The sequence below is a fragment of the Homo sapiens genome, chromosome 9 (assembly GCF_000001405.40).
Source record: "Homo sapiens chromosome 9, GRCh38.p14 Primary Assembly".
Taxonomy (NCBI): Eukaryota; Metazoa; Chordata; class Mammalia; order Primates; family Hominidae; genus Homo; species Homo sapiens.
This window is the reverse complement of record NC_000009.12, coordinates 124,011,756-124,034,726: the sequence shown is the minus strand read 5'-3', so window position 1 is coordinate 124,034,726 and position 22,971 is coordinate 124,011,756. Positions and strand designations below refer to the sequence as shown.

The following is a 22,971-nucleotide window of genomic DNA, read 5'->3' as shown; positions in this document are numbered from 1 at the left end:
GTTTATTACAGACTTGTGTACACTGTATATGTAATATAAAAGTTTACAAAAATTTTATTGGGCTCCTACTGTTTGCCAGACATTATAGCAATAACAATAGTGTTTTTTTGTTTGTTTGTGTGTGTGTGTGTGTGTGTGCGCGCGCGCGCACGCAATGTGCTTGGGGTTTTCAAAAAACATTTCAGAAAGTGAGTGAGTCTGGGCTTGAAGCACACTCAGCCCGTTCCTGCCCCACTCACTCCCTCCACCCTATCCCAACAATGATGGCAGAGGGAGGAGGAGAGAGAGACCCCAGTCCTGGGCTGGATGGTTCCTCTGCCCACTCTTGCCTGGCTATTTCCTCCTCCAGGTGGCCATGATTTTCCATCTGGATGATCAAGTTGGTGGGCCATTGCAGGGGCATTTGGGTTGGTAACTGCTGACATCCAATGAAACTGGTAGCAGAGTACTCCGAAGCAGGGCTCAGAGTGAGAAATGAGGGGTGTCAGAAGTCTGGGGGACAGACACCACACCTGCTTGGTGCATTCAGCAATGCCAGAGGGTGCCTGGATACACACATTCCTGCTCTCCACCCACAGAGTCCTCACATCACCTGTCTGTCATTCACTACAATGCATCGAGCCCTACTCTGTGTCAGGCCTTCTGCTGGGCTCTTCAACACATCTTACCTTTTGCCCCCACTACAACTGCCATGCAAGGGCCATTCATTATCTTCAGCTCATAGCTGAGGAAACTGACGCCCAATGAAGTGAAATGACTTCCTTCAGCTCACCCTGCTCAACAGTAGGAATTCCAACTTCATTCTGCCTGGCTCCAACCCTCCCTCCTCTCTGGGTGTGTCTTTTCTCTGGGTTTCTGAGGTTCCCTGAAACTTTAGGAAAGGAACAGAATTCATTTGCTTTTGCCCTCTCTAGCGATCTTGAAATTTTGTGTCATTAGGAAAACTGGAGCTTAAGCTGCCCTTTGTTAACTGCGTTCACTCCTCGTAGGGAAAAGCTGCAGGTTTTTCAGGAGGCCTCCCTCATCGCCTGACATGCCTTCTTTCCAGCCCAGCCAGGAGCAGAAAAGGGCCTCTGACCTCTGCATCACAAGCATCTGGCAGGGTGTGCTCATTAAATATTTGAAAGAATGAATGAATGAATAATGAATGAATGAATGAATGGGATGTTGCATATCCTCCACTTGAGCACATATCACACCCTGTTAAGATATCTTTTGTCTGTCCCGTGTCACCATTCTGATTCCTTGAGAGCAGGAATTGGATCTTTGTCTCGGCATCTCTGTAATCCGTCCAAAGCCTGGCACAAGACAGGAGCCCCAGGAATATCTGATGAATATGTGAAGACCTAGAATTGATCTCTGGGCCTCAGTAAAACTCTTAGGTCCTGTCAATTTCACACCCAACCAAATGGCAGCAGCCCCAAGTAGTTTCAATAAGTGGTTTTATTACTGGTTAGATTTTACAAATTCTGATATTCGAACAGACTTCCACCTTAAAATTCTAAAACAACAAAGCGACCGTTGGAGGGGGTTTGATTTTTCCTTTTTTTTTTTTCTTTTTTTCTTTTTAGGACTATTCAAAGTAACAAACTTTTTTTGTTGTTTTTTTTGTTTTTTACATTTTTGCTCTGGTCATAAATATACAGAGAAAAAGAGGGAGAGAAAAATGAACAAGTCATCCAAAGTATGGAGATAAAACAGTATTCCTAAGGCACGTGGCAGTCTTTGAAAATACAGAAGCTCTAGCCAACTTAAATTATTTGTTGTTTTTCCTCGCTCAGTCCACAAAACTGTACAGTGACACAAATGTTGTGTTGCAGGTAGATCTTCCAAGTTGTTCCTCGGTCCACACCGCTGCATTAGCCGGGCGCACACTTCTTTTTTTTACCTCTGTTTCCAGGCGAGATCCTAAAATGTGGTTAGTTAGTTGCTCAAAGCCTCTATTTTAAAATACACTTGGAATTCAACTAAAGATAATTTCTTTTTTAAAGAAATTGTGGGGTGAGGGGTTGCGAGTCATTAGAAAAGGTTGGTAAGAGTCGTTTGTGAGGGGCTGTGAGGCTCATGGCCCTCCAGGTTGCCAGGCACAGAAGTTAAGACGGACGTCACAGTTGGCAGGGTGGGGCTAGTCAAGTCTGTCAGGGTGGTGGGCGTGCTGGAGGGGCTGAGCGAGGCGTTGGAGAGCTCCGAGGCCGGGCCCGATGGCGTCCCTGTCTGCAGCGCCGCGTCTGTCGACTTGTCCACGCCCGTGTTTTCCTGCCGTAAGAGGTTGCGCCTGAACTTGGCTCGGGCGTTCTGGAACCAGACCTGCGGGGGACGACAGGGAAGGGCTGGTGAGCGGAAGGCAGGCAGAGCATCCCCCCGACTGCTTCACTCAGAGCTCTGCTGCCTCTGGGGACGCTGATCTGTGTTTTGCCAAGAGGATCCAAAAAGTCAGGTTGGCAATATTTTGCTTTTTTGGTTTTTTTGTTTTTGTTTTTGTTTGCAGACAGGGTCTGGCTTGGTCCCCCAGGCTGAAGTGCAGTGACACAATCTCGACTCACTGCAGCTTCTAACTCCTGGGATCAAGCGATCCTCCCGCCTCAGCCTCCTGGGTAGCTGGGGCTATAGATAGGTGAGCACCACCGGCCCCGCTAACTTTTTAAGTTATTTTTTGTAGAGACGGGGTCTTGCAATGTTGACCAGGCTGGTCTCAAACTCCAGGCTTCAAGTGATCCCTCCTGCCTCAGCCTCCTAAAGCGTTGGGATTACAGATGTGAGCCACTGCACCTGGCCAATATTTTGCTCTTAATAAAATAAAACAAAAATTTCACTCTATCTAATGGGCTACGGCTGGGCTTCTCTTTCTGATAGGTGGTTCCAGAGCTGAGCTGTACTCCCGAATATCACAGCCACGAGCCACGTATGGCTGCTGAGCACTTAAAATGGCATTAGCCCAAATTCAACCAGTCTGCAGGTGAAAACACACAACCTATCTGAAGGCTGAATATGAAAAAAAAAGCAGGTAGAATATCTCAATAATTTTTATATTGATTACATGTCGAAATGATTAATAGTTTGGCTATACTGAGTTAAGCAAAATACATTATTAAAATTAATTTTACTTTTACTTGTCTCTCTTCATTTCTTCAAGGAGGCTACTAGGACATTTAAAACTTAAAATTAAATGTGTGCCTCATGTTGCATTTCTATCAGACACACCAAACACACACACCAGACAAATCTTGATCCTTTTCCTAATGGTTCTTTGAGACATTCCTTTTTTTTTTTTCTTTTTCCTTTTTTGGCAGTTGCCTTTCAGCAGACAATAAACCCCACAAGTTCTTGTTGGTAAAATGTTTTAAATGTTTTGTGGTCAGTAAGTCTGGGAATGCGATAAAGAACACATGAGAATCAGGCAATAATAATGAGTTACTAAGAGGAAGTGAAAGACACGGAACCTATCCCCATCATCGGTTGGGGGAGCCACCAGGTACCCTGGGCCACTGGGTGTCAGGTCTCAGGGTGGAGGTGGGTGGAGGTAGGCAGCGTGGGAACGGCAGCCAAATTAAAGTGAGGCCAGGGAAGTTGAAACCCGCAGAGTCTCTCTCCCGACCTGCTGCATCCCGTATCGACTTATGAGGGACGTGCGGCGGGGCGCAGAGCTGGGGCTGAGCTCTGTCTGAAAAGAATGTCAGTGAGAGAACATGGGTTTACTTTCATTTTTCCTTGGGCACAGACACACACGCGTCCACTCCCATATCTTTGCACACACGCCTGTAAGCATTCAGGAAGACACACAGAAATTCATCTAAGGACGGGCACAGTGGCTCAAGCCCGTAATCCCAGCACTTTGGGAGGCCGAGGCAGGTGGATCACTTGAGGTCAGCAGTTCGAGACCAGCCTGTCCAACATGGTGAAACCCCATCTCTACTAAAAATATAAAAAATTAGCTGGGTGTGATGGTGCGCTCCTGTAACCTCAGCTACTCGGGAGGCTGAGACAGAAGAACTGCTTGAACCCGGGAGGCGGAGGATACAGTGAGCCAAGATCCCACCACTGCACTCCAGCCTGGGCCACAGAGCAAGACTCCATCTCAAAAAAAAAAAAAAAAAAAAAAGAAAAGAAAAATGAAATTCATCTACACAGCCAGCACCTAAGTACCACCACCCATCTAACAGCACAAACACAGGGACCCGCTGTACCCAGAGGTCCACGAAGTACTTTGGGAGGGGCTTAGGAAATCCAGGCCACTCTGGGGGGGTTGAACCTTCCAAGGAAAAAGTCCTGAAAGGCAGGGCCCCTTCACTTCCCTTTGCGTGAGGAAAACACCCGCCAGAAGCCTCCCCATAAAACAAAGGGCCTCAGGGCACTCTGCAGATTCTGGGGTGTCCAGTTGCGCATTTCCAGATGTCCTGCATCTGCCTGTCTTCCCAGTGTCTCTGGCAGGAGAGGGAGGGCTGACTCCTGGCCCCACGCACCCCTTGGGACCACCCCGGCTGCAGGGGCCTGTGGCCTCAAACCCCCGTTTCTGGTGGCGTAACACAATTTGGGCTCAATTAAAAGCAAATCCACAAGAATCTTGGAGTAAAGTGGGAGATCCAGACCCTGTGAAGTGGAGAAACCAAGCTCCCTCCTCAGTGCTGGATCTTCCCAGGAAGAAGGCACATTTTCCCTGGCTCTCCGCCCAAAGAAAGCCCATCACCCCTTCTGGGGGCTGGCAAATAAGTACAGTGCTTCTCAGACCACCCTTGACATGCTTTCCCTGGGGTGGGGGGGTCCTTCCCTTTCCCGGCCAGCAGAAATCTGTAGGGGAGAGACTGTGTCCTGGTGGCCTAAAGAAAATGGATGGGGAAGCCCCCAGAGGCCCTCAGAGAGAGGAAGTGACTTCCCCAAAGTCATGCAGATTGGGGTGGAGAAGGCCGGAGCCTTGGTGCCGCTGCCTTGCCACTGTCCTGGCCTGTGTGCGTGTGACCCCTGAGCAGCCTGTGCTCTGTGCGTCTGACTCTCAGAGCAGTAGCTGGAGCGGGGAGCCTGGGTCGAGGGTTTGAGGGTGCTTTGCCGGGTGCTCATTTGCTCATCCATCCGGGGCTCCAAGACCTCGGGCAGGGCTGGACCCGGTTAGTTGCCGGCTGTTTGCTATTTCTCAGGCTGTTGCCCCTAACAGTGGGCTTGTAAACAATGACACCATCGTCCACAACTACCTTCTCTGCTTTCCAGAGCTGAGGCACTGGGAATCTGGTAGATGAAAATTCAACAACTTCATTAAAAGCCCGGCTGCTCTGGGGTTGTGTGGGGTTTGTTCTTCATGTTGTCAGGGCTTCACTAGAATTCTCTCCCAGGTATTTCAAAAAGTCCACTCCTGAGAGTTTGATGGGAGCAGGGACCCTTTCTATGCTATCTTCATGTCCCCCGGTGCATGGCAGAGACTGGCAGAGATTAAGAATCAGTAATATGTATTCATAGGAATGGCTGACATGTATGTACCTTTTACTATGTGCCAGGCTCCATGCCACCCTCCAGCATGCACTGCCACAGGTTATTCCCATGAAAAGCCAAGTAGGTGGATTCGACTATTATTATTCCCATTTTATAGATTTATTTATTGACTATTATTATTATTATTATTATTTTTTGAGACAGAGTCTTGCTCTGTCACCCAGGCTGGAGTGCAGTGGCACGATCTCAGCTCATTTCAACCTCTGCCTCCCAGGTTCAAGTGATTCTCTCCTGCCTCAATCTCCTGAGTGGCTGGGATTACAGGCACCCGCCACCATGCCTGGCTAATTTTTTTGTATTTTTAGTACAGACGGAGTTTCACCATGTTGGCCAGGCTGGTCTTGAACTCCTGACCTCAGGTGATCCGCCCACCTTGGCCTCCCAAAGTTCTGGGATTATAGGCATGAGCCACCGTGCCTGCCCTCACTGTATAGATTTAAAAACCAGAGAGGGTCAGAGTGGTAAAACCACTTGCCAAAGGTCACACAGAGGGCAACCTGAGACTGGAATCCAGGACCACTTGCCCTAAAAGAGTCCATGCTCTCCCTGCCACATGGTCCTGAGGGAGGTAGCAAGTCCATGAATGAGTGAATAAATGGATGAAGAAACAGAGAAGCAACTATAGTGCAGTGGAAAGAGCAGCTTCCAGTCCTGGGACTACCACGTGACCTCGGGTTTGTCCCTCACCTCTGGACCGGCCTCAGTTTCTTCACTTGTACAACAAGAGGGTTAGACCACATCATACGATCTCTATGGCTCTCAGGGTTCTGACAGGCTGGGATTCTTAGGCAGCTGCAAGCAACAAGGTGCAGTCTGCCCCACCCACCCATCTTCTGAAACTGACAGGCCTTCTCTTTTCACATGCCTCAAGTTCTCTGGACTGTGTGTCTGGGACAAGAAGGCGAAGTTCAGACAGAGAATCATCAGGACACAACTAACACCAGGCCGGGGTGCCCCAGCCTGGTGCGCGGTAGATCTCCAATAAGCCCTGGGTAGATGAAGAAGCACACGTTGCTTCTTGCCCCTTCCCAGGCACTACCTGACCATGCAAGTTGTGTTTTGCCTCACAAACCTCCTTCCCCAGAATTCTTTCATCAAGAAAGCCAGGAGGGCCAGTGGGAAACCCACTTTGCCCCCAGCAAATCCCCACCTGGGATGCTAAGGAAATCAGCCAAAAGATGAAAGCTTCATGCCCATCATGGCATTTTTAATAACATCAAACTAATGGCTGCATCCAAAGTGTCCACTCAGATGCGGCAAGTGGGAGTCATGACACAGCCACTCCACGATGCCACAGGGGAAATGTCTTGTGATGGCTGTTAGGTGAAAAAAAGGATAAAAAAAAACTATGCCTTCTGGTATTGTACCTTCATAAAGCAAATAATAATGATGAATACTATTCCTCATGAAGTGCCAGGCATCTTTTTTTTTGAGATGAAGTCTCGCTCTGTTGCCCAGGCTGGAGTACAGTAGTGCGATCTCAGCTCACTGCAACCTCTGCCTCCCGGGTTCAAGCAATTCTCCTGCCTCAGCCTCCCAAGTAGCTGGGAATACAAGCATGTGGCACCATGCCCGGCTAATTTTTTATATTTTTTAGTAGAGATGGGTTTCACTGTATTAGCCAGGATGGTCTCCACCTCCTGACCTTGTGATCTGCCCACCTCGGCCTCCCAAAGTGCTGGGATTACAGGCAGGAGACACCACACCCAGCCAGTGCCAGGCATTTTATAAGCAAAGTCCTAAGCACTTTACACATTAACTCATTTGGTCCTTATAATAACCCTATGCGGTAGATGTGAATATTATTGCCAATTTGCAGGAGTAGAAACTGTGTGCCTCTTACTGCACAAACAGAATTGAGATGTGACTTCCAACAGACTGGTTCTATGCCCTTAACCACTACTTAACCTCTAAATCACACACTTTAATTATTGGATTCCTGTGCTCTTAGAAGGGTACGGTTTTTTTTGTTTGTTTTGCTGTTGTTGTTTTCTGTTTTTCCTATTTTTCTAAACTGTTGGTATGGCAGTTCTAGTATTTTGTAAACTTTTAAAGAAGTTTTCTTTAAAGAACCAAAAGTAATAAGCACTGAACTGGAAATCAGAAACCCTTGGTTCTAGCCCCAGGCCTAGAACCACTTTGCTGTGGTTCTTGGGAAAGTCACTCCACCTCTCTGAGTCTTGATTTCCTTTCCTTTGAACTGAGAGGTTTAGGCCAAATTGTCTGTGAAACTCCATACAGCTTAGGCCATCTAGGACTAGATTGGACACTTATCACCCACCTGGGTGGTAGACAGGCAGGAAAAAGACCACTTTACAGGTAGGGAAATGGAGGTTCAAAGTAATGAAGTGACTTGCCCTGATATAAACCACACCTCCTCCTCAGGGAAGCCTTCCCTGACTACCTCCTTCAGCAGGTCAGGTCTCTGTGCTCTAATTGTACCCTTGCATTTTTCCTACCTAGCACGTCTACCATTTTATTTCTTTACAAGAGTTAAATAAGAATTATATGGCCAAATAAAATTTGGGAAATGTTAGATTAGACAAAGTTGAGTCTCTTCCAGATTTCTCAGTGCCTGTATTAATGCTAACATGCTCTGATCTCCAAGAGAAAGACACAGTCAACCTTGAGCCTTTCCCAAACCTATTTGAGCTTAGAATCATTTAAAAGAAAAACACAGAGATTAATCTTGGCACCTTGTCAATTGTTTATCCCACACCTTGCTCCACATGCCCTCTGGGTGGATGTTCCAGTGGGGTCTTGTTCAATGTCTTTTTTTTTTTTTTTTGAGACAGAGTCTTGCTCTGTCACCCTGGCTGGAGTACAGTGGTGCAACCTTGGCTCACTGCAACCTCCACCTCCTGGGCTCAAGCGATCCTCCTCCTGCCTCAGCCTCCCAAGTAGCTGGGATTACAGGCACATGCCACCATGCCCAGCTAATTTTTGTGTTTTTAGTAGAGACGGGTTTCACCATGTTGGTGAGGCTGGTCTTGAACTCCTGACCTCAGGTGATCCACCCGCCTCCGCCTCCCAAAGTGCTGGAATTACAGGCGTGAGCCACCACGCCCAGCCAGTCTTGTTCATTGTCTTGTTCCCCACTGAATCCTCAGTGCCTCCAGCCCTGCCCGGCACATGGCAGGTCAATATATCTGTCAAACAAGTGAGTGGCCAGAGGAAAGCTAGAGTACTCAACTCCTAAATTCTCACACAGGTTAGTAATAACTAACTAGTCACCTGAAAGATGCTATTTATTTATTTATTTTGGAGACAGAGTCTTGCTCTGTTGCCCAGGCTGGAGTGCAGTGGCACAATCTCAGCTCACTGCAACCTCCACCTCCTGGGTTCAAGTGATTCTCCTGCCTCAGCCTCCCGAGTACCTGGGACTACAGGTGTGCGCCACCATGCCTGGCTAATTTTTGTATTTTTAGTAGGGAACGGGTTTTCACCATGTTGGCCAGGCTGGTCTCAAATGCCTGGCCTCAAGTGATCTGCCCACTTCAGCCTCCCAAAGTACTGGGATTATAAGTGTGAGCCACCACACCCAGACTGAAAGATGGTTTTTAAGCTGTTGGTGGTTAAAATGTGTTTTCTTCCAAAGTCACACCAGGGAACCCCTATGGAGACCTTCACCCACCCAAATCAATCAGCTCATCACTCACTTCCCCAAGCTTAGGGCATCTTAATATGCTGCTTCCCTGGCCCTTCCACAGGAAGGAAGGAAAGCAACTCAGAGAGACTTCTATGTGGTGAGAAATGGTCTCCATGCATTTGTAAGGCTTAAAGTCTTTTTTTTTTTTTTTTTTTTTTTGAGACAGAGTCTCACTCTGTCGCCCAGGCTGGAGTGCAGTGGCGCAATCTTGGCTCACTGCAAGCTCCGCCTCCCGGGTTCACGCCATTCTCCTGCCTCAGCCTCCCCAGCAGCTGGGACTACAGGCACATGCCACCACGCCCGGCTAATTTTTGTATTTTTAGTAGAGATGGGGTTTCTCTGTGTTAGCCAGGATGGTTTCGATCTCCTGACCTTGTAATCCGCCCGCCTCGGCCTGCCTCCCAAAGTGCTGGGATTACAGGCGTGAGCCACAGTGCCCGGCCAAGGCTTAAAGTCTTAAAGGACCTCCGTCTAAGGGGCCATTCTGTCTCCTAGTCACCTTGCCCACTGATAGTGAGTATTGTAGTTGCCATGCTGCTGCTGATGGCAAATGTGAGCACCTTTTATGTGACGAGCACTTTACTAGAGGTTTCTGCTTCCCTACCAAGACATGGCATCTGTGACCCACACCTTCCCTCCTCTCCCACTGTACTGCTGCACTCTGCAGCCAGATCCAAGGGAAAAAAGTCAAAATCCCTTCGTGTGCAATATTGGAAAGAGCTTTGGAAATTTCAGACCAATCTGAACTCGACTCCTGGCTTCATCACTTACTAGCTGTGAGACTCAGGGCCAGGGTTCTAGACTCTCAGAATCTCAGTTTCATCATCTGCAAAATGAAGATAATCACATTTTTAAAATGTGTGCAAAGAGGGTTGCAGAATGAACTGTACTGTGTAAATGACTGCAGGAGACTGAACTGTACTGTGTAAATGAGTGCATGAGATCAGCATGCCTGGGTCCTGACTCTACACTCTGTAAATTATACTGTATGTCATCTTATTTACTCCGTGCAACCACCAGTAAGGTATCCTTCTCATCCCCATTTCATAGATAAGGCATCAGGCTCAGAGAGGAGAAATTAAAACATCCAAATCTCACTGCTGGTAAGTCAGACAGGATTAAAACCAGTCTGTTACCTTTCAAAGGCATACTACCAACTGCCTCAAACTGTTCCCATCCCATGTCTGCCAGATTCCCCATCAGCATTCAGGGCACCTGGGGGCAAGCCCCACCCTGCCAATGCCTGGCTCCTGTATCCAGCAGCAAATCACCTCATCTTACTAGGTCTTAAGCTTCTCATCTGTAAAATGGGCAGAAAAATCTTAAGGTAAGGTAGATACGTGGCTGGAAAGATAATGCTTTGTAAACTGCTGCATCACCATGTGCAATAGGAATATTTGGGATTTGTGCAAATGTGGTCTGGGAAAAAGGGAGAACAGTGCTACACGTATGCCCCACCCCCAGTATACAGACCCTAAATGAAACTCACACCCAGACAGTCATTGCCAGATTGGCTCAAAGAAGAAAGAACTATGTCCATTGATCAGGCAGGCCTGGATTTGGATCCAGCTCTGCAGGTAACTATAAAGTGTGATTTGGGGCAAGTGGAGATCATTTGGGCCTCTGCCTTCTCATCTGGATGGTGGGGGAAGAGGGATCATGCTGCCTGGTACACAGCATGGTTGGTCCTTCCTCTGGGCTCCCTCAGTAGGTGCCCCAACGGATCACACCATGAGGAAACTGTACATGGGTCTGTGTCTATACCTAACAGGTGAATTTCCTCAGGGCCAGGACCATGGTTTGTTCATCTCTGTGTCCCCAAGGCCTGGTGCCAATATATGTTTCATCAGATGAAAGAATAAGAGGTAACTCTCCTGGAAATCTGATTTGTTCCTAAGTCAGGTGACCAAGCCTTCTGCCTCCCCAAGGCCAACAGAGACTGGCTCCTCACTGGAAATTCTGATTCAACTATGGGTACTTACTCTTCATTTCATTTAATCTGGATAACTGAGAGAGGTTTGTGCCCTAATGGTGCCCTTTCTACAGATGAGAAATCTATGGCTCAGAGAGGGTAACTAATTTGTCCAAGACACACAGCCAGTGAACCCAGCCCAGGTCTTCCTGAACCCGGTTCCATCCCCAGCTAAAGCATTAATTCATAGAACTGCCCTCCCTCCCCTGACCCCACTCCATAGAGCAAGCCTGTCTATGCCCAGGAGGGCTTTGAATGTGGCCTAACACAAATTCGTAAACTGTCTTAAAACATTATTATTATTATTATTATTTTAGCTCAACAACTATCGTTCGTGTTAGTGTATTTTATGTGTAACCCAAAACAATTCTTCTTCTTCCAATGTGGCCCAGGGAAGCCAAAAGATTGGACATCCCTGCCACAGAGCAACTGGGTTGGGGAAGGACGAAGGGTCCTACTAAGCAGAGAAAAGGCAGCCCAACCCCAAGTCCTCAGTCCGAACTCACCCACGGCTGAAGGGAGGGGACGCCAAAGAGGGTCCTTGACCTAACCCCAAGAAGGCAAACAACGAAGGAAACAGACGAGAGGGACCTGCTACCCCAGCCAGTGTAGTCACGTTCTCCATCCACCAGGAGCTCAGGCCACTGGGACTCCAAAGCAAAACAGACCATGAGGGAGGGGCGGGCCCAGAGGGGCGCATCGGCATCCCATTGGCCGACGCTCCCTCCCTCGGCTACGTCACCCAGTCCTCCCTCTCCCGCAGCCCCTCGCCCGCTCCCCGTGGGCAGCGCTGCTCAAGGGGGCGCCTCGGGAGCCTAGGGGCCCCAACTCCCGGCTCCCCCCGCAGCTGCAGCTGCAGTTGCGCCGCGTCACAGCCTCCACCCGCCCCACAGAGGGCATTTTTTTGTTTGTTTTTTGTTTCTGACAAACTCACAAGAACTTTCTCAGGGCAGCTGCGCAGCCCTCCGTCTCCGTCATCCCTCTGTGTCACCTCCCAGCCCTCAATCCCAGAGACCTGGGGCTGGAGGGTGGGTCAGACTGGCCTGGACTCGAATCCCACCACCTCCCCTCCTGTTGTGAGGCTGTCCGGTTACTTCATCCCTCGGTTTTCTTCCCTCAAAATGTGTGTCGCTGGCACTGTAACCACACGTTCTGAAGAATAAATTGGTTAAACTTGCTATCAAGGGAGGCATTGTCTTGCCTTCTCTTTGTACGAATGGGGAAACTGATGTCCACTACCAGAATAATTGCTCATACTAGTGAATCATGCCAGCTAATGAATCTAGTTAATGCTGTTATTGGCTACCATCCACTGAGCAACGAAGTGTCAGGTCGCACCACAGGCACGTCATTTCAGTGGCTCCTTGGATAACCCGGCAGCATAATTTATTGTATCCATTTCTTGTATGAGGAAACAGGCTACAAAAAGTCAAGTGACTTGCCTAAGACCCTAAAATGAGTAAAAGGAGGAGCTGACCGTTTGAGATGTGGCCCACGACTCTGCCACAACTTTGGGTCATGCAGGAGCCTGGGACCTGCTTCTGTGCCTCCAGACTAGGGTTCTTAACATCTCTAGGGGTGTGAAAATTTGGTGAAAGTTCTGGATCTTCTCTATTAAGAAGTTACTCGCACATGTAAGTGCAGTTCTGCTGAGTTTCACAGGCACCCAGCCGCTCCCCCACCCCACCATGTCCTCTGGGCAGTCCCGCCCCCACCTGCCCACCCAGGGAATCTGCCCACACACATCCCCACCACCAAACCTTGCTTCCAGGAGAGTCTGGGAGGCAGAAGATAAATCTAGAGAGATGCCTGAAGGAAGAGAGAGGGGGGAGTGAGACAGAGGCAGACAGCAAGAGAAGAGAAACTAGAGTGGGTAAGAAGCAAGAAGCAGGAGCTAATGATAGTCACCTTGGGTGTACGTCCTGGGATGGGGTGGGGCGGCCTCTAGATTTATCTGAAATGTTTGAACCTTTTATGATGTGAATGTGTGTAAAATGAGTGTCACTTGAATAATAAACAGAAACTAAGAATTGTTTAGAAGAAAGAAAAGAGACCGAGTGTGGAGACAATGAGGATGGAGCGATACGCAAACAGAAAAACAGAGAGGCAAAAACTGAAAAAGAGAAAAGACAAAGTAAGAAAAAAAAGACTGAAATACAGATGGGGACAGGCTGGAGAGGTGAAGAAAGAGAATGAGAAAGATTAAACACACAGAGAAGCAGACACAGGGTGGAAGGTCCTTCCAAGGCCCACGGCGAGGGGTGCAGGGTTCCACCCCAGTCCCTGGTGGTCGCAGATGCCCTCACCCCTGGCCCTGGCTGACCTGGAGGACCCGCTTGGTGAGGCCCGTCTTTTGCGCGAGCTGCTTCAAGTCCTTGGCGTCGGGGTTGTGGTTAATGGCAAAGTAAGACTTCATGGTCCGAAGCTGGTGGTGCTTGAAGGACGTGCGCATGCGCTTGGTCTTCTGGCTGCTCGGGTATGGCTGGTCACGGTCCAGGTGCTCTGCGTCGTTTTCGTTGCAGCTTAGCGCTAGGGAGGAGACACAGAGCCGGTGGGTGAACTTCCTGACCCGCCCCCCATGCCAAATCCACACTCGCCCCACCCACTGCCAAACATTTCAATCCTTAACCCTGCTGCATGTCTGCGCCACAATGAAAGGGGGACATCATCCCCATTTTATAGATGGAAACACTGAGGCTCAGAGACAGCGATCCACCCAGGATCACACTGCTAAGAACTGCAGCACTGAATCCCGGCTCTGGGAGAATCCAAAAATCATTCTGAGCCATTATGTTACAATAAGAACAATAGTAGCAGCAGCAGCAGCAGCAGCAACAACAGCTACGACTTGTTGATGGCCGATTGAACTCCAGGTGATGTGTTAAAGGGCTTTCCAGGCACATTTTCTTTAGGTACTTAAAACAATCCTAGGAGCACCAGGTATTATTTTTCCCGTTTTTACAGATGTTGAAACTGAGGCTCAGCAAGGGAAGTCACTTGACTTTGGACACAGCAGGACAGGGTCTCTGGGCCTGCCCTCCTCCTGTTTTCCAAGGCACTCTAAGGAGGAGTGCTTTCTGCCGTCTCCCCCTACCGTGTCTGGGACCGGCACCTAGAAACTGCTGAAACAGAGATTCATGTTCATTTTGCCACACCCAAAAGTACTGAGGGACCCCTGGGCCTTGGGCACTGGGCCAAAGGTTGGAAACTGCATTTTGCAGTTTAATCCTCATCGCTACCCTGTAAGATGATTGTTTCTCCGTGAACAAGTGGAGCAAATTAGGCTCGGGGAAGTTCAGAGATCTGCGGCAGTCCACAGAGAGCGGCAGAGTGGACGGGGAAGGAAGTCCGAGGCAGAAATAAACATGTAGTAGACACCTATGGTGTGTGTTTGGCTTTACAAATGTCACTGTACATCATTACCTCTCAGAGAGGTGGCTATGACTATTCCCATTTTAGAGATGTGGAAACTAACGCTAAGGGAAATGAAGCCACTTGCACACTGCCACACCACCGGTAACCAGCTAGATTGATCTTGATCTGTTGAGCCTAGATTTAGCACTGGAGTACTCCTTGTTTTCTTCCACTACACCACGAAGGGAGGAGGGAGCCTGTCCCTAACCACAAGGAGCCTCATGGGGGCCACGCTGCCAATGCCTGGCTGGCATTGGGGGTGGGGAATATGGGTGAAAACCTGGGCCTCAGAAAATTGCTCAGCCACCTGGAAGCTGATGGGGACCTGCAGGACCCCTCCCAAGGTCGCCTCCTCATGGCACCTCCCGAGCCATGCCACACTTAAGGTCTTGCCTTGGGGTAAGCCTCATAAGGGGTGTACATTCGGTCCGCCTAAAGTGAGAACTGAGAAGGTATCTTGTGCCCTCATCACATACCCGTAACAGAGCTCTAGATTTAGCAAATGAAAATACAGGTTGCCCAGTTAAATATAAATTTCAGAAAAATAATAAGTAATTTTTTAGTATAAGCATGTCCTAAATATTGCATGGGACATACCTATACTAAAAATGTATTTGTTGTTTACCTGAAATTCAAATACTACAGGTGACACAGCTATGCTAAAAAATTGTCATTTATCTAAAATTCAAATATTACACGGGACACTTATACTACAAATTTCAAATTTATTCGTTATTTTTCCAAAATGCAAATATTGCCGGGGACACTTACACTAAAAATGTATTTGTTACGTACCCAAAATTCCAATTTAACTGGGGATGCTGCATTTTGCCTGGCCACACTACCTCCAAAGGACTTTTACTCTGCTGGTGACCTCCCCCTTCCCCTGCCCAGATGGGGAAGAGCCCCTTGCAGAGAGAATTTGCAAGATACAAGTCTTGCCCCTGCCTTTGGAGCTGTTAGCTAGGGGCTACACCTCCTAGGGGCCTCTTTCCACCGGCACTCAGGTCCCCTCACCCCCGGGGCTGCATTCCCACAGAGAGCACGCCCAGAGTGAAGAGCGCGGGTCCGGCAATTTAAAGGGGATCAGAGGATGCCTCTGAACCTGATCCACCAGAACTGCTTGGAACCCGCTGAGGTGAGCAACCCTTTTCTTTCCCCCAGTCCCCAGCTCCACTGGGGGTGGGGCAGCCTCCCTACGGGGTATCTTTGGGCCCATCCCTCCACCGAGCCCCCGCCTGGGCCTGGCTGCTGTTAATGAGCTCCGTGGGGACCCCGGCGCCCCCATGGGCCCAAGGGACCTGCCCTGAGTGCCGCCTAGGTGGGGTAGTAGTGCGGGGGAGGGGGACAGAAAGGGCAGAGAAAGGAGAGAAAAAGACAAACACAGAAAGGCAGAATGGAGGGAGAGAAAGAGAGAGGGGGTAGGGACGGAAGATGGACAGAGCCAGGAAAAAGAGAGGACAGACAGAGGAAAAGAAAGCGAAGGAGCCAGGAGAACCACAGAGAGACAGCTACAAAGACAGCAAGAAATAGGGAGAGCGGAGGGGAAAGCGAGTCCCGGAAACAGGCGCAGCTTGTGGCGAGGGTCCGGTGGCCGAGCTGAATCCCGGGGCTCCGGGAGACCCGGTCCCTGCGGGGGAGGCCTTTTCCGAAGCCGTTATTGGCGGGGGAGTAGAGAAAAGGGGAAAGAAGGGGAGTGGAGAAAAAGGGAAAGGAGCCGGCCCTAAGTAGCGAGGCCGAGGCCGGCCAGAGGCAAGGGCAGGGGGCGGCGGCGGGGGAGGCAGCCGTGGGGCCCAGGTTTGGCCGGCGCCCCGAACCCCCTCACTCCCGCCCCCAGTGCCCGGGGGCGGGTCGAGATTCCCCAGGATCGGATCCGGGGAGGAGCGAGGGGCCGAGGGGAGGGGGAGGACCCGGGCTTTCTCTCTCCTTTTTTTTTTTTTTCCTCTCAATTAGGCCGATTCAATGGAGCTAAAGAGCTCGTAAAATCATGAATAATTTACTCGTGATCTGTTATTAACCCATCGGGTTTCGAGCTCTTGTCGCTGGGACTGAACCTGTAATCAAATCTGACTTCGCCTCATTTTACTAAAGACGAGATTGTAGGTTCAATTGTCTAAATAATGGATTGGAATCAAATCAGTAATTACGCCGCCAGGCACACACACACAAAAAGCTGGGGCTGGGGGAGGCCGGGCGTCCGGCCGGTCCGCGCGGGACTCCCGCGGCCGCGGCGCGCAAACCCAGGCGCAAAGTGCGCGGCCCGGGCCCCTCGCCCGCTCCTGCCGCCGTTTTCGCACCCCCAGCCCGCTGGCAGCCCCTCCCGGGGTAGGGGGAGGTTTCCGTTCCACCGGGGCCCGGGCCCGAGGGGCTGCGGGAAGAGGCCGCTGCGGCCCCGCCCCGGAAGGACTTTCCGACCCCGCGGCCCGCGGCTCTGCTGTAAGCCCAGCGCCCGGCGCCCCGACGGCGCCCCCTCCCCACTCGGCCCCCAGCTCGCCGCCCTTCAGTAAGGTGCCGCCGCGCCTCGGAGGGACTGTCCCCAGAGCAAGAGGCTTTGCAAGGGGTCGTCGTGGCTGGGCCACAGGATGTGGGACACTGCCACAAACAAGCTCGTGTCCCCGTGGTCGGAACCCTGCACGCACACGCACACGACCCGCGCCCGCACACCCCGTCCGCGATCGCACCCTCCAGGGTCCCCGCTTTCCAGTCCTAGCTGCCCCGCGGCCCACACTGCGGCCATTTCTCTCCTGCCAGTGCGGGAGGGGAGGGAAGGGCGGACGCCAGATCTAGGAAGACTGGGCTGGGCCCCGAGAGGCCGGGGAGATGCCCTCTTTCCCCAACCTAGTCCCGGGAGCCCCGAAAGAGCCAGCCGCATAGCCACCGCCGGCGCACCGAACGCCGTTTCTCTCAGGACTAGGAGCCCCGGCCAAGGTCGGAGAGGAGGGCACGGGAACAAACACGACACACACAGAGACAGAGATAGAGAGAAAGGACGGAGAGAACGGAAAGGAAAAAAAGAGAGAGGGAGGCCAGAGAGAAAGTGAGATGGCTGAATGGAGGGTGTCTCTTGTAGAGGTTAAACAAGGCTTGAAATTCAGCCTCCAGCCCACCTCGCTGGGGCAAACGGCGGCTGAACAGCAAAAAGCAGAAATAAATCTCTGTACCTTCTACTCTCTTTTTGCACAATCCTAAAACCGGCGCCGAACCTCCGTGCCCAGGAAAACAATACAGCTCCCCAGCCACCAGGTGCCCTGGAGCCGAGCCCCGCGAGGTGCTTCCGAGTGGAAGTTGACCCACTTGATAAATAGAAGCGGCTTGGTGTTGGGGGAGCCGGTCTGAACTCGGTTTTGTCTTTTTTTGGGGGGTGGTAGGAGAGGAGGGATGGAAGTTCCAGAGAGCTACATCTGTGGTAGTGCCTTCAGCAAATCTTAAATCCGCGCCACCGACCGGCCTACCGCTGCTTCACCATTTACCAAACTGGGGGCTGCGTTTTCCTCCCAGTTCCGCACACAGGGACACACGCCCCATGATCCTCCAAGCGATTTCGTTGGAGCGAACACCCGCCCCTCATTTCCCTCTCTATTCAACTCAGATTCTTTAAGATGAAAATAACTGACTTCTTCCCGCCGTAGCACCCTCTGCACAGTCTTGGGTTTGTTTTTGTTTTTGCTTTTTTCTGCTTGTGCATTAGACTAAAGGGAAAAGGAAGAAGAACACAAAATCTCCAAATCTAATTCTGTTGCAAACGAAAGAAAGAAAATAATTGCACATAAACTCTAGTTCGGAAGCCCGGAGAGTCATAAACCTTTCCGGGCCTTGCAGACTTCGGGCAGATGTTGACGGCTCATTTGCCGGAACTCAGAACCTCTGCAGCTGTCCTGAGCAGGGAGGGGCGCGGGAGGGGGCAGAGCTTCTCCGGGAATGGCCTGGGGTTCAAAGATGCCGGAAATCCGAACCAAGCCCCCCACCTCACCCCACCCCACCCCACCCCGGCGCGAGGCCAGGCCTGCTCCGGTCTCGTCCCCGCCCGGGGGGCTCGCTTCCGAGGGTCACGGCCCTCACCCCAGCAGGCGCCAGGAAACTCGGAGGAAAAAGTCCGGGAAAACTGAGACCTGTCTTTAAAGGAGGATCGGGCCGAGCAAAAGGAACCGCAGCCTTTGCTTTCCTGAGTTCCCCAAGCCCGAGTTCCCCAAGCCTGCCGCCCTTGGGACATTTCACGAGGTCAGGCCGCACTCCAGGCCGAGCTCGGCGCCCCGGGCCACAGCCAGCCCTTTCTCTTGGGACCCTCGCCGCCCTGCCTCGTTCCTTCGCTGCCCCAGTTCCCGGCCCTCAGCCGCGCCAACCCAAAACCTGTTTGGCGTCAGCGCCGCCTTGCTTTCTCCATCCCTGCCACTTCCTGCCTAGCAAAGTGGGGCAAAGGCCCAAACCAAAAAGCCATCTCCAAAAAAACAATTTATCAGAGACAAGGCCCTGCACCCGGAGCAGCAAGGGACCACTGCACCCTCTCCTCCCGCTCCAGCCGAGGACGCACAGTCTGGAAGCCCAGGGGGCTAATGTCCCTTCTGCGAGGCCGTCCGGTGCTTAAGGCTCGCTATTTGCCCAGCACACAGAGATTCAATCCAGCTCCCGGCCGTCGAGGCCGCACACTTTCCCCCAACCCTATGGGGGCGCTTCGTGCGCCGCGCACTCACCAGCGTTGTAGGCCGCCAGATCCGCACCGGGGCCCGGGCTCTTACGTTTCCTCGGCCGCCCCTTCTGCACAGTGCCCACGCCATTGTAGTAGGGAAGACCCAGAGGGTTGGCCCCTGCTGCGCCCAGCCCCGCGCTCTTGGCCGCCGCGGCTGCAGCGGCCGCCGCTGCCACGTCGGCATGGTTGAAGTGTGCGGGGTACTCGCCCTGCAGCAGCGCCTCGAAGTGCAAGCGGCAGTAGACCAGGCTGTCCTTCATGCCGAAGTGGTCGCCCGTGGTCAGCATCTTGTTACACGTGGTGCACGTGAAGCAGTTGAGGTGATAAACCAAGTCCCGAGCGCGCATCACCATCTCCGAGGCCGAGATGCCCAGGTGGCAGCGGGCGCAGCGCTGCACAGAGAAGCGCCTGTAGGGACCATGGAGGGAGGGGCTGTGGGAACACACGGTTGGGTACCCCCCTTTTCCTCCTCCAGGTGCCGCTGCTGCTGCGGGGGGCAATCCCCTCCTCAAGACGAACAACCCGGCCTTTATTTGGAGGATGGGGGGGAGAGAGAACTAGATTTTGACCCAGGCCTGGTCCTGTCCTAAAATAGTTTCCCTTAACACACTTATGCCTACAGAGACTTCTACTTCACCCAGAGTCTCCGCAAGCCCTAGGAAAGCCTTTACCTGGGAGTGGAGGGAGACACTTACCACTTACCCCCTCCTCAACCTTTACTCCTCCCTCCAAACCAGCGCCTGGGAATCCTACTGACTTTTATAATTTGGAAGAAACACAGAGACAGGGAAAGAGAGAGAGACACAGACGTAGAGACAGAGACAGAGAGAATATACATAGACCCTAATCCTAAAACTGGGGAGAAGGAGAAACAGAGAACTTGGAGTCTACTAGTGATTCTGGTTCTTTGATCTTGGCCACCTTTCATTCCCATTTTCTCAAAAGACCTGGAAATGCACCCACTCCCACAGCTCTCTTTCCAGCTGTGTTTCACTCCAGCTTGGGCTGCCTAGGTTTGGGGGTGCCTGTTTCTATAACCTCGGATTAACTCAAGAAACTTCAAAGAGAGAGGGGAGCAAGGATCCCAACTCAAGCTTTTTTGTGGTCTAAGCTCCGAGCAGGAGGGCAGCTTCTGCTTTTTTTCTGGTTCTCCTACTTCGTAGACCTTTCCAAGAGCTCCCCAAATTGCTGCTTTAAAAGGTTATCACCCAACTTGTGGTGGCTTGGAGAACTTGGGGGGGGAGCGGGGGAGTCCTGAGTAGTGAACCCTCTCCTGGGACTAAACGGAAAGGAGAGGGCCAAACTGTAAGACTGTGCCTGAGATTGGGGGGAGGGGTCCTGAGGGGCAGTTGGGTGGGGGGGCTACCTGTAGTAGTCTTCCTTGCAGTAGATGCTACCGTCCTTGCTGAAACAGGTGAGCTCCGACTCCAGGTTGAGCTTGCACTCGCAGCACTTGAGGCAGCGCATGTGCCACTGCTTGTCCACCGCCAGCAGGTAGTAGCGGTCCGAGATCTTGCCCCCGCAGCCGGCGCACAGCGCGGCGCGGTCACTGCTGATGGACGGCATGGTCTGCGAAGGGAGGGAGGCGGAAGACAGCAGCGCCTGCGTCAGCCAGCGGCCCCTCCGCCGCCGGGAAACCGGCACCCACAACTCCCTCTGTGGCCTTGGCTACCCTGAACGCGGAGGGGGCTGCCAGGACATGCGGCGCGCTTCCCCCCACCCCAAAAGGCCCATTTCCATTTCTGGGCGGTTCAGAACCCAGGCCTGCCTGCGCAGCCCTCGCCAGCCACGGGCCCAGGCCGGGCTCCTGGCCTAAATGGCTCTGGTGCTTACCTCTCTTCCTTCCAGTCCTCCCTGTCCTTTCCCCCAAAATGCTCGGGCTGTGTTTAGGGACCAGGACAGCTACTCCAGTCAAGCCCTCCAAGAGCTTTCCCTAAACTGCTTCTTAAATGAGCCACCCGGGGGATAAGGTGACCATTAAGTCACCCTCCACACAGAATCCTCTTTGGAGAGACAGCGGAGTTCCTGGGCCCCAGCTCCAGTGATCCCTGGATCCTTAGACCAGAGGTTAAGGCCAGGACAAGTCAGCCAACTTCTGGCTCCTCTGCCACACGGGCTGGGGCCCTCTTGGGTCCGGGGATGAGGTAAGTGGGGTGCAGGGACACCCTCAAAGTCCGTGGGTGAAGGACAGGTTCAACCCAAATACTTCCCTATCCAAACTGACCAGCAGAGAAGGTCTAACCGAAGAAGCGCTCAGAGGCCGGGAGGACACTGGCGCCGCTGCTCCTGCTCCCGGAGCAGAGAAGCTTCTCCCGTGCTCCCCACCTCCGCGGCCTCCTAAAGGTCACTTCTGGGCCCGCTGGTCGGGCAGTGTCTGCTCGTCTGGCCCCCAGGGAGGCCTGAGGCGAGGAACTGGCTATTTGGGGCTGGGCCCGCGGAGCCAGGTGTAGAGATCCAAATGGAGTCTCCTTCGGCGAGGGCCAGGCCGGAGCCTGAACTCCCAGCCCTGGCCTGGCTAAGTCTGACCAGTCAAGGGTCTGGGGACGCGATCAACGACAAATGTTGGCCCCGAAGACTTCGGCCTCTGAAACTGCGCTGGGGGTTGAGGAGGATCCCCGATTGCCGGAAAGCTGGGAGCGGCCCAAGCCGGCTGGAGCCCCAATGCTCCCAGCTGGTTCGCCCTTCCCTGGCGCCGCTCGCGGCGCCGCCAGCAACCGGAGCCGAGAGGTGGAGGAGAGCGCGGGGCTGTCGACCCCGGCACCGGGCAAGGTGAGAAGGGAGCCGCCCCGGGCCGCGGATGGGACTTCGCTTCCAGTTCGGAAGAAACGCTCTCCTCTACCCCCAGGGCCGAGATTTCGGTTTCAACCTTGTTTCCCTTCTGCGTCCCAGCAGCCGGGTTTCCCCCGAACCGGGAGCCACCGGCCTTGCATTCTGACCGAGGATCCCCAGCACCCAGTCCCGTGCGGCACGAAGGACGCTCCCCAAACTTCGGGGAGCAGAGGCGCTGACTGGCCCGGCCCCATCCCAGCTCTCAGCCCCGACCCCACAGCCGCGCGCCTACCGTCTCGGTGTCGCCGCGGTCGATGGCGGAGCTGATGGCGGGAGCCTCGCTCTTGGCCCTGCGGTCCATCTCGTCGATGACCCCGTGCACCTCGGGGCCCGACAGACTGTGGAACAGCATCGCGGCGGGACCGGCGGGGCCGGGGGCGCGGCTCCTCCGAGGGAGGGCTTGCCCCCCGCCTCAGCTGCCTGGCGCTCCTGGCGCTAACGGGCCCGGTGCATCGCCACCGCGGCCCCGGCCCCGCCCGAGCTCGGCTGAGCCCCCAGGCCGGGCTCCGGGCCCCGGGCGCTCGCGGGGCAGGACGCCTCCCGCCGAGGCGCAGGGGCAGCTACATTGCGGGGCGCCTGGGCGACGGCGCCAAAGCCAGGGTCACAAGGGCACGGGACAAGCGGGGCGGGGGGAGCAGGAGACTAGGACAGAGGTCGGCGCCCGCCGCGGGCGCTTTCACGCCGCGGGCATCGCCCGCCCGGCTTCAGCGCCCGGGGCGCAAAGCAAGGGCGCAAACTCTGCCCGAGGCGGCGACGGCTGCGGTCGGGGTTCACCCTGAAGCCGCTAGGTGTCCGCGGCGGCCCAGCTGCCTGGACCCCTCCCCTCCCTGGGGTGCGCCCCCAGCCCAAGGCGACCCTCTTGGGCGCTGAGTCGGCGACTGGAGTAGGGGTTTCTCCGAAGCCTGCGAGCCGAGTCGAGCCACCGGGAGAATTGAAGAGGAGGAG

At 53.0% G+C, this 22,971-nt stretch overlaps 1 protein-coding gene across 3 annotated transcripts, besides 3 other annotated features; it reads right to left on the bottom strand.

Annotated features, from left to right (window-relative positions):
- Nucleotides 1–1,425: 1,425 nt before the first annotated feature.
- LHX2 (LIM homeobox 2) lies at nucleotides 1,426–22,959 on the bottom strand. Of its 3 annotated transcripts, none has more exons than XM_006717323.4 (6): nucleotides 22,259–22,959; nucleotides 20,564–20,766; nucleotides 19,202–19,605; nucleotides 13,423–13,628; nucleotides 12,860–12,908; nucleotides 1,426–2,307 (listed from the first exon to the last, which is right to left on the bottom strand). In XM_006717323.4, exons 1-5 carry the CDS (start codon nucleotides 22,376–22,378, stop codon nucleotides 12,897–12,899), a joined length of 945 nt encoding a protein of 314 aa, XP_006717386.1. In that variant the 5' UTR covers nucleotides 22,379–22,959; the 3' UTR covers nucleotides 1,426–2,307; nucleotides 12,860–12,896. The 3 variants fall into 3 exon arrangements, with proteins under 3 accessions (XP_006717386.1, NP_004780.3, XP_047280038.1); XM_047424082.1 differs by lacking the exon at nucleotides 1,426–2,307 and adding an exon at nucleotides 11,903–12,251; NM_004789.4 differs by lacking the exon at nucleotides 12,860–12,908.
- Nucleotides 3,910–4,697: an enhancer, noted in NCBI's record as "H3K4me1 hESC enhancer chr9:126792309-126793096 (GRCh37/hg19 assembly coordinates)". NCBI's record gives its function as "activates a minimal SCP1, AML or CMV promoter by ChIP-STARR-seq in naive H9 embryonic stem cells {active_cell/tissue: H9 hESC(naive)}" and the evidence as "EXISTENCE:reporter gene assay evidence [ECO:0000049][PMID:30033119]".
- Nucleotides 20,902–21,474: an enhancer, noted in NCBI's record as "H3K27ac-H3K4me1 hESC enhancer chr9:126775532-126776104 (GRCh37/hg19 assembly coordinates)". NCBI's record gives its function as "activates a minimal SCP1, AML or CMV promoter by ChIP-STARR-seq in naive H9 embryonic stem cells {active_cell/tissue: H9 hESC(naive)}" and the evidence as "EXISTENCE:reporter gene assay evidence [ECO:0000049][PMID:30033119]".
- Nucleotides 21,475–22,047: an enhancer, noted in NCBI's record as "H3K27ac-H3K4me1 hESC enhancer chr9:126774959-126775531 (GRCh37/hg19 assembly coordinates)". NCBI's record gives its function as "activates a minimal SCP1, AML or CMV promoter by ChIP-STARR-seq in naive H9 embryonic stem cells {active_cell/tissue: H9 hESC(naive)}" and the evidence as "EXISTENCE:reporter gene assay evidence [ECO:0000049][PMID:30033119]".

Bases quoted from the DNA above. Each gene is read 5' to 3' on its own strand.
- LHX2 (NM_004789.4), bottom strand. From the start codon at position 22,378: ATGCTGTTCCACAGTCTGTCGGGCCCCGAGGTGCACGGGGTCATCGAC. The intron at 19,606-20,563 runs GTAGCCCCCCCA...TGGTCCCTACAG, and splicing joins TGCAAGGAAGACTACTACAG to GCGCTTCTCTGTGCAGCGCT. The intron at 13,629-19,201 runs GTGAGTGCGCGG...TCTCCTCCCTAG, and splicing joins TCTGGCGGCCTACAACGCTG to CGCTAAGCTGCAACGAAAAC.